Source organism: Homo sapiens, chromosome 11 (assembly GCF_000001405.40).
Source record: "Homo sapiens chromosome 11, GRCh38.p14 Primary Assembly".
NCBI lineage: Eukaryota > Metazoa > Chordata > Mammalia > Primates > Hominidae > Homo > Homo sapiens.
The window spans coordinates 3500140-3510378 of NC_000011.10; the positions used below are offsets into that span (position 1 = coordinate 3500140).

The 10239-nt window shown below is 45.3% G+C and overlaps 1 long non-coding RNA gene and 1 pseudogene across 1 annotated transcript in view; both read right to left on the reverse strand.

Annotated features, from left to right (window-relative positions):
* The window catches only part of ENPP7P15 (ectonucleotide pyrophosphatase/phosphodiesterase 7 pseudogene 15), a 70864-nt pseudogene extending 70382 nt beyond the window's left edge, over positions 1-482 (reverse strand).
* Positions 7841-10239, reverse strand: part of LOC101927708 (uncharacterized) — a 64008-nt gene continuing 61609 nt past the window's right edge. Inside the window, exon 3 of the long non-coding RNA NR_126335.1 lies at positions 7841-8257. This is a non-coding gene — a long non-coding RNA (uncharacterized LOC101927708). The remainder of the gene's footprint in view (positions 8258-10239) is intronic.

Sequence of the window (10239 nt, forward strand, 5' to 3'; positions counted from 1 at the left end):
AGGCCAGGAGTTCAAAACCAGCCCAGACAACATAGTGAGACACCCCCTGCCCCAATTTCTAAGAAAATGAGAAAATTAGACACTGTGGCTTGTCTGTAGCCCCAGCTACTGGGGAGCCTGAGCTAGGGAGGACTGCTTGAGACCAGGAGTTTGAGGCTCCACTGACCTGTGATTATGCCACTGAGCTACAGCCTGGGCAACAGAGTGAGACCCTGGAGCCGCCTCAGCTTCTCTAGAGCTGACCGAGCTTTTGCTTCTTATCATAGGGAATGACGGACGCTGGGGCTTTGATGGGCATTGGGTGAAATGGGCAGAGTGACGCTTACCTGGGATGGCAGTGAAGTGGGATGGGGAGGTCATTGTGACAAGGGGCGGCATGAGGTACTTGGCCTTGACGCCCTCCCCGGCCAGACGGTCCAGGTTGGGGGTGTCCACATCCTGATCCTAGTCCCAGCGGAAGCCCTGGAAGGAGATCAGCAGCAGTTGTGAGTGCTCTTCTTCCCTGGGAGGAGGTGGCCGCCCAGCAGGACAGGCAGCGGTAGCAGCAGCTGGAGGGCGCCGAGCCATGTTATCCCACGAGCACCTGTCATGCACTCCTCACGCAGTTCATGGGCTTCTCCCTCTTTAGTCCGTTGTTGAACAAAGTCACATTAATAATTCAGCCCAGCTCTGTTGTGGGACAAACAACCTGGAGTGTAGCAAGGTGCTGCATATTTGCAGGACAGTATGAAAGCGTTCTGGAGATGGATGGGGGTCATGGCTGTACAATGTGGTGGATGCACTTAACACCACTGAATTTTTCCTTTGAAAATGGCTGAAATAATAGATTTTGTATGTATTTTACCACAATAAAAAATCAAACTGGCCGGGCATGGTGGCTTACACCTGTAATCCCGGCACTTTGGGAGGCTAAGGCAGGTAGATCATTTGAGGTCAGGAGTTCAAGACCAGCCTGGCCAACATGGAGAAACCCCATCTCTACTAAAAATGCAAAAATTAGCCAGGCGTGGCAGTACATGTCTGTAATCTCAGCTACTCGGGAGGCTGAGGCAGGACAATCGCTTGAACCCGGGAGGCGGAGGTGACAGTGAGCCGAGATTGCGCCACTGCATTCTGACCTGGACAATGGAACGAGACTGCATCTCCAAAAAAAAAAAAAAAAAAAAAAAAAAAAAAAAAAAAAAATCAAACCACATGAAATATTTTGGACTCTTATACTAATTCCAACATTTCAAGATCTGGGGAGAACAAACTAGATTGGTGCTTTCCTTGGCTTAGTATGTTCTGTTTTTATAGGGAGAGCAAATTATTGTTCACCAGCACTATTAAAATAGCTACAACAGGATGGGCATGGTGGCTCACACCTGTAATCCCAGCACTTTGGGAAGCTGAGGTGGGAGGATCGCTTGAGCCCAGGAGTTCAAGATGCCAGCCTGGGCAACATGGTGAGACCCCGTCACTACCAAAAAATATAACAACAACAACAAATATAGCTAGGTGTGGTTGTGTGCCTCTGTAGTCCCAGCTACTTGAGACGCTGAGGTGGGAGGATCACTTGTGCCCAGGAGTTTGAGGCTGCAGTAAGCCATGATTATGCCACTGTACTCAGCCTGGGTGACAGAGTGAGACCCTGTATGGAAAAAAAAATAAAAAGCTGCAGTGGACTCGGTGATCATGAGGCCAGGCTCTGTATACATACACATCATCTCATTTAATTTTTTCTTTGTTTAAAATTATTTTTTCCTCTAATCCTCATGTTGATCGACATTTTTTTTAGTCCTAGGAATTATTTGAAAATTTCGCATAAGAATTAAAAATTGCCTGGCCTGATGGCTTACACCTGTTATCCCAGCACTTTGGGAGGGTGAGATGAGAGAATCACTTGAAGCCAGGAGTTTGGGCCAGTCTGGGCAATAAAGTGAGAATGCAACTCTATAAAAAAATTTAAAAAGCTGGGTGTAGTAGCATTCACATGTAGTCCCAGCTACTTGGAAGACTAGATGGGAGGATTGCTTGAGCCCAGGCGGTAAAGGCAGCAGTGAGCTATGATTTTGCCATTGCACTGCAGCCTGGGTGATGGAGTGAGACTCTATCTCTAAAATAAATGAATAAAACTGTGGTATAATATATGCAACATTTACCATTTTGTGCATCTGAAAGTGTACAATTCCGTGACATTTTGTACATTTATCATGTTGTGCAATTATCACCACTACCTAGTTTCAGGTTTTTTTCAACACCTCAATTGGAAGCCTCATATCCATTCAGCAGTCACTCTGCCTACCCCCTCCTGCAGCCCCTGGAAGCCTCTCATCTACTTTCTATCTCTGTCGATTGGCTTAGACTGAACATTGCATATAAATGGAATTGTACAATATATGACCTTTCATGTCTGCTTCTTTCACTGAGCATGTTTTTAACGTTCATCCATATCACAACATGGATAAGTTTTGTTTTCTTTTTAGACCCTATCTAAAAAGAAAAAAAAAATTGTAAAACAAAAACAAAAAAATGTATAGGATGGAGATCAGATGAGTCCTGCAAAGTTTATATTTACTATCTAGCACTTTACATAGAAGCTTGCCTACCTCTGAATGATATGCAGGTACAGAGATGACATTTATCTTGGCACTTATAGAAAGACCTATAAATTGTATAAAGACATCATCATTGGATTTCCAGTAACAAGAAGCGGCAAGACATGACGGTGTGTTCAGGTGAAGTTTAGGGAAGGTCTTGTCTTGACGAGGTCGGATGTGAGACCCAGATGAGATAACCCCATTTCCCCTGCTGGAATTGCCTGAGAATTTCATTCCAGTTATTTGTGTAGGTTGATTCTTTCGGTGGGCGTGGGGTGGGTGAGGAGGTGAAGTGTCAGGGCAGTTCTATTTTATATTTGCACAACTTGGCTTTCTTTTTACTTGGTGTGGTGTTTTGCTGTATGAGGAATTTCATAGGATTTTGTGATGAGTATGCAGCATAGTGGTTTGAATCCTGCCAGGCCGAGGGCCATATCTCAGCTCTGCAACTCATTATCTGTGACGCCTTGGGGCAGGTCCCATAACTCTCCAAGCCTCTGTTCTATATTCCATGGGGTTGTGAGGGTCAGATGAAATAATGCATGCTGGCAGAAATGGTTACTGCTCATGGGATTTCCAGGTTCTCCCTGTATTCCCCAGACCCCCTGTAGTTAGATGGATCCATGCCAGGGTCCAATGCTCTATAAGTGGAAGTCACTGACATCACCTCTATTCTACAGCTTTTGAGGGCTTGGGAATAACTATCTCATTCTCTCATCTCCTGGTGTAGTAACTATGGGAGAATCCTTGCATGAAGATGGTAGAATTTTCATCATTCTAGGTCTCTGAGTGGCCATATGGAACACACCATACCCAGCCAACCCATTGTGGACATGGAATGTAAGAAATCAACCTTGGTTGCTAAGCTGTTGAGACTCTGGGGTTAATTTGTTACTGCAGCATAACCTAGTCCATCCTGATGCATGCAGCATGCAAACCACTTATGTTGACCCTTAGTCATGGTAAGTGCTCCACAGATGTTGGTTACTTTTGGTAGGAAGATAGTTTGCCTCGAAAGTTGTGTTAGCTGATCTCATGATGCCAATGTTGCTATTTTGTAATTGGATAAATTGGACTTGGCTCTCCTTCCAGCATGTGGGAGAGAAAGATGACTGAGAGACAATAAGGCACTATTATCTTCAGTTTGTGTCCTTGTATACCCTTGGTGGCAATGAACAATGCATGCCCCTCTGAGAAAACTGGACCTAAAGGAGAATGGGAGATGATACCAGAATTGGGAAAGTCCAAGGCCCCAGGACTTCCCTGGTCTGGAGACAACTTTGAGTCCTTGGTGGGAAGATTCTCCAAGGGAACATAAATGCTTCTACTATCTAGTTTGTCTCTTTGAGAATTAAAACTTTTTTTTTCATTCCAGTAGTTTTTGGGGTACAGTTTGGCTCTTTGAGAATTGCATACTAATTAATTTTAGGGGTCATCTGTACACATCTCTATATTCCTGAAACATGGTAGAAACAGCCAGCAGTCAGGCGACAATCTACCATGACCACTAAAATATCCCCAAAGTGAAACACCAGATGTGATCCACTAGGTTTAGTGGGGGTGGCTGGCTCGAGAGTTGGTTATATTTATTATTGTCACTGTGGTGATTATGGCCACAACATTGTGATGCGTGTTGGTCTTCTTTTGGTGAGTTCCAGTTTGGAAGGAATAAATCCATTTTTTTTTTTTTTTTGAGTCTTGCTCTGTCACCCAGGCTGGAGTGCAGTGGTACCATCTCAGCCTGCTGTAAACTCTGCCTCCCAGGTTCAAGTGCTTCTCCTGCCTCTATGGCCAGGCTGGTCTTGAACTCCTGACCTCAGGTGATCCACCTGCCTCAGCCTCCCAAAGTGCTGGGATTACAGGCGTGAGCCACCATGCCCAGCCCCATTATTCATTTAACCAATATCTATTTAGCACTTTGGGTGTGGTGGAGGATGAACTGCAGGGGAGAGAGGAAGCCTCCTCCTGCCACTGTGTTTTCAAGTTGTCCTAATACTCCACCATGACACGCAGGCTTGTGGGTCCCAGAGCTCCAGAAGCATCTCCTGACCACAACAACCTGACCCAGATTCTACTGAAAAATACGTGAGTCTAGCAGAGCCATCTCTGACACTTCCCTTCTTTTGAACGGCTGATCTGTCAGCCATGGGGAGCCCTTATGAAAGTGCAGTGTGTTTTGTGAAACTTGAGGTTGATCAAAGAATACCATTAAACTTGGTTAAGAAATCTACATATTGATGACATAGGCAGTGGGGTGGAGGTGGGGAAATTCCCAAATACATTTTAGGAATTCTCTCAGAAGGAGGTAATAGTCAGAACTCTTGGTTGCCAGTGACAGAAACTCATCTTACTAGTGTGGAGTGGAGAAGGGATCATGTTTTTCTCTGCACTCCCCAACCCCAACCCCAAGCAGATCCTGAAAGAGGGACAGGATTGCAAGTGGATTATTTAGGAGATGATTCCAGGGAACACCAATAGGGGAGTGAGGAATTGATTCATGGAAAGGCAGGAGGCCACACAGGGGGCTTCAATGAGCAGCTTACCACTCCAGGCAACTAGGATTTGACCCCACTGGGGACCTCTGGGAGGTGATGTGGAATACATTTCAAAGTTGTTCCATCCAGGGGGTGAAAATATTGCAGCATTTATAGCCTGGCTCCCATCCGTCACTGGCTGAGGAATGGTCCCAGGGCATCAACTCTCTGGCTTTTTTTTTCTTTTTCTTTTTCTTTTTTAGACACAGTCTTGCTCTGTCACCCAGGCTGGACTGCAATGGCATGATCTCTGCTCACTGCAACATCTGCCTCCCAGGTTCAAACGATTCTCTTGCCTTGGCTTCCTGAGTAGCTGGGATTACAGGCACCTGCCACCATGCCCCGCTAATTTTTTTATTTTTTGTAGAGATGGGGTTTTGCCATGTTGGTCAGGCTGGTCTCGAACTCCTGACCTCGTGATCCACCTGCCTCGGCCTCCCAGTGTTGGGATTACAGGAGTGAGCCACTGCGCCCGGCTTCTGTGGCTTTTCTGACGTACTCCATGCCTGACTTTGAGAAAGCCCTCAGGTGAAAGTCTTGGTAGTATGCAGTAGCAAGCATGTACTAGAATGATAAAAACCAAGGGGCTTACCACAAGATCTCTCTCTCTATCTCTGTCTCTAGCTTTGTCTGCATCCTGGCTTAATTTCTTCTTACTCAAGCCTTTTCTCCATAAGGCAAGAAACGTGGCCACAAAAGCTGCTGTATTTCTCACTACACACAATTCCTGTCATCACAGAGAATGATTAACTTGGTCTAGTTCCAGTTTGGAAAAATATTCAAGGGAAGAATTCTGATTGGCCAATTTAGGCCAGATGCTCATCCCTGGACCAATCAACTGATGCCAGAGGGGTGGAGTCATTTGAGAACATGGCAGCCCCCATGAGAGCCACATGACTGGAGTAGGAAGTGTGAGTCTCTATAGAGGGGAGGGCTGCTAGGCTGAAAAGGCAATAGATGTCTGCAGTGAAAGGAATAGATCAGAGATACATTCTGTTAAACCTGTTAATTATTTGAAAAAAAGAGAAACTTTCAATCAATATACAGTCACAGTATACATGAGCCGGTGGCTCACGCCTGTAATCCCAGCACTTTGGGAGGCTGAGGTAGGCAGATCAGAGGTCAGGAGTTCGAGACCAACCTGACCAACATGGTGAAACCCCATCTTGTGTGCCTGTAATCCCAGCTACTCAGGAGGCTGAGGCAGGAGAATCACTTGAACCAGGGAGGTGGAGGTTGTAGTGAGCTGAGATCATGCCACTGCCCTCCAGCCTGGGCAACAGAGTGAGACTCCTTCTCAAAAAAAAAAAAAAGTTACATTGTGGTTCCCCCAGCATGATTTATCAGAAAGGAAAAACAATATGCGTATTTCCTATGCACAGGCTACTGCTATGAATTGAAATTCTTAAATTCCAAAGATTAATTAAAATGCTTCTCAAGACACATAAACTGTTAGAATCTGCTTATAATGAGGCTGAAGTTGAGTAAGAAGAGAACTGGCATTTAGGACACTACTTTTCTTCTGTCGAGTACTGTCAAGTTTTAGTTCTGCCTGGAAGTAGATGCACCTCAAGGGAGGGTTGCATGTAAAGGTGTGTGTGTGTGTGTGTGTGTGTGTGTGTGTGTGTGGTAGTTTCCAAAGATTGGTACAACTTTCTGCAAATGCTCCTGCAATGTAACTGAACCAATCTTTCCTTTAAGAGGTAGAGTTTATACTCCTCTACATGAATCTGGGCTGCCTATGACTTGCTTTGGCCAGTGGAATGCTGCCAAAGTGATGGTGACCAACTTCTAGCCGTGAAAGGAAAACAAACCTTGGGGCGCCAAGATCACTAAGCTAGGCTGGGCTCGGTGGCTCACGCCTGTAATCCCAGCACTTTGGGAAGCTGATGCGGGCAGATCACCTGAGGTTAGGAGTTCAAGACCAGCCTGGCCAACATGACAAAACCCCATCTCTACTAAAAAATATGAAAATTAGCCAGGCGTGGTGGCAGGAGCCTGTAATCCCAGCTACTTGGGAGGCTGAGGCAGGGAAATTGCTTGAACCCTGGAGTTAGAAGTTGCAGTGAGCCGAGATCTTACCACTGCACTCCAGCCTGGGCAACAGAGCGAGACTCTGTCCCTCCACCCAAAAAAAGTTACTAAGCTAAAGAGAAAGGTCAAGCTGGGAACTGCTTAGGGGAAAACTGCCTCCCATTCTATTCAGTCACCCCTTTGCTTACTGAGATAAATGTATATCTGATTGCCTCATTTGAGAGGCTAATCAGGAACTCAAAAGAATGCAACCATTTGTCTCTTAACTACCTATGACCTGGAAAACCCTTCCCCTTTTCTCACCTTCACCTGGAGTTGTCCCGCCTGTCCAGACTGAACCAATGTACATCATACACATATTGATTGATGTCTCATGTCTCTCTAAAATGTATCAAACCAAGCTGAGTCCCTATCACCTTAAGCACATGTTGTCAGGACCTCCTGAGGCTGTGTCACAGGCATGCGTTCTCAACCTTGGCAAAACAAACTTTCTGAATTAACTGAGACCTCAGATTTTTGGGGTGCAAATAGTCTTAGGCCTTGAGAGCCCTCTCGTAGTTTCCATATTTTTGCCCTCTTGCATGCTGGCACCAAGCAAACCTTGGCTATCTGCTTAAAGGGCCATTTGGAGAGGGGCTCTGGAGGGCGAGGGGCCACATGGAGGAAAACAAGGTTCCCCGGCTGACAACCAGCACCAACTGCCAGGCACATGCATGAGGCCATCCTGGATGTTCCACCCAGCTGGCCCTCCAGCTGCAGGTAGCCACACAAATGAGCCCAGGTTAAACCAGCCAGGAAGTCCCCATGCAACTCACAGGGTCATGAGCAATAATGGCTTGTGGTGGTTTAAAGTTTCTAATTTTAGGTGCAATAGGTAACTGAAACAACCCAGAAGGGTGTGAGCCTGTGGAGGGTGCATTTCCCACCTGCTGAAGCTTCTCAATTCCCAGGATCTAATCCAGATAAGACTCTTGTTCTCAGTGTCCTTGATGGAAATGGCAATGAACTTTTTGCAGATTGGACCATCTCGGGAATCCCAAAGATCGGAAACTATTTTTTTTCTCAGAATCTTCCACACAGCATTGAGCCTTAGGAATTTCTAAGAAGGATCTGGAATAAAAAAAAAAAATATTTTGAAAAGGTATTTGTATAGCTTCACTTCAGCAAGATTAATGGTGGATATTAGACTAAGTGCTGGTGTTAAGCCAAACTATGTTTTTCAAAGACTCATCTGGCCTCAAGGTTGGCAGGACCAGAGTGGCCTCTCAGGATCTATCACATCCTCAGAAGAGTTGGTTCAGCTGACATGTACCCAGATCTCTTTGACCTAGTATGATACTCCCTTGAGTCAAAGGCTGCCACATCATATCTCCTTTAAGTCCCCCTAAGTACGACCCCAGGAGTATTGACAAAATGGTGCTGTTCCTGAAGATTTCAGGAGGACACAAATGAAGAGACTAAACTGCAAGGTACCAAAACTTCCATCTTTGCTAAAGACCCTCATCCAGGCTGGGCACGGTGACTCACGCCTATAATCCCAGCAATTTGTGAGGCCAAGGTGGGCGGATCACCTGAGGTCGGGAGTTCAAGACCAGCCTGACCAACATGGAGAAACCCCATCTCTACAAAAAATACACAATTAGCCGGCCGTGGTGGCACATGCCTGTAATCCCAGCTACTAGGGAGGCTGAGGCAGGAGAATCGCTTGAACTTGGGAGGCGTAGGTTGCGGTGAGCTGAGATCGTGCTATTGCACTCCAGCCTGGGCAACAAGAGTAAAACTCCATCTCAAAAACAAACAAAAAGCCCTTATCCAATGGTCATGCCACTCTATCTGGCCATGTAATTTCTCCTCCTGGCTTTCTGTAGCAACAGCCTTCTGAGGAACCTCACTCTGCCTTTCAAAACCCCTTCAACTTGTACCCTTAATCAGCAAAGTACTTGGCTCAACATGTATGCCTCTGGGGGAACTCATCCACATGCCATTTAAGGATATTTCCAGAAACATCATCTTCACTACCCCAGGATGGCATTTTAGAGTGGATTACGTGCCTGCTGGTTGTGTTGTACTTGAGCGAGTTAGAGAAAATGCCACACTTTGAGACGAATTAAGAGTCTGTTTATTTAGCCGGCGGCTAAGAAATGGCTAAGGTTCAAAGTTCTCTCGGCCTCGAAGAAGGGGCTAGATTTTCTTTTATACTTTGGTTTAGAAAGGGGAGGGGGGTCTAGTTAAAACAATTTTACAGAAGTAGGCAAAAATGTTAAAAGGATAAATTGTTACAGGAAAGTAAACAGTTCTAGGTCTAGGGGCTTTAAGACTATTACAAGGTGATAGACCCGGGGCTTTGGGCGTTATCAGTTGGATGAATTCCTGGGAACTGCAGATATTGCTCGCCACAGTATCTTATCAGTTAATTGCATTCTTCGATGTGCTGGGAGTCAGCTTGCACAAGTTAAGTCCTTGAGGAAGCGGCTGCCAGTGAAAGAGCCAAGATGGAGTCTGTCTGGCTCTCTTAGCTAAGGGAGAGTCAATTCAGGTGGAAACAAGGCTAGGTGATTAAAAGAAAGGGAGAGTCTTAGAACAGGGTTAGTAAAAAGAAGGTTGGGCATTACATTCCTCACTTGTGTTTTTGGGGAATCAAATCGTTGATTCTTCAGCTATAACAAGGGGGTTATATTGAGTCTTAAGATACATAAGTTTGACAGAAGCTATGTGTTGTTTTACAAAATTAATAAACTAATTTAATATACAAGGTCCAAAAATTAGACTTAATAGTAGGATGGGGAGGGGGTCTGGCTAACTTAGTAATTAGAATAGTTAGCTCTGGGTTCTAGTTGAACATGCTTTGATACTAGGGGATGTTATTTTCTTGTTCTTGTTGGCGCTTATCTAGATTTTCTTGCACTGTCTGGAGTGTATCTTTTATGACTAAGAATGGTGGAGGAACAGTTGAATCAACTTTGTCAGGGTGTTCCTGGAACATAGGGTTACTTAGATCAGTAAAAGGCCTGATTGACTTGGGTGGGCTTTATGAGACTAGGGTTTTTTTGGATGGTGAACATAGTCCTAACATTAAATCCTGGGATATAAAA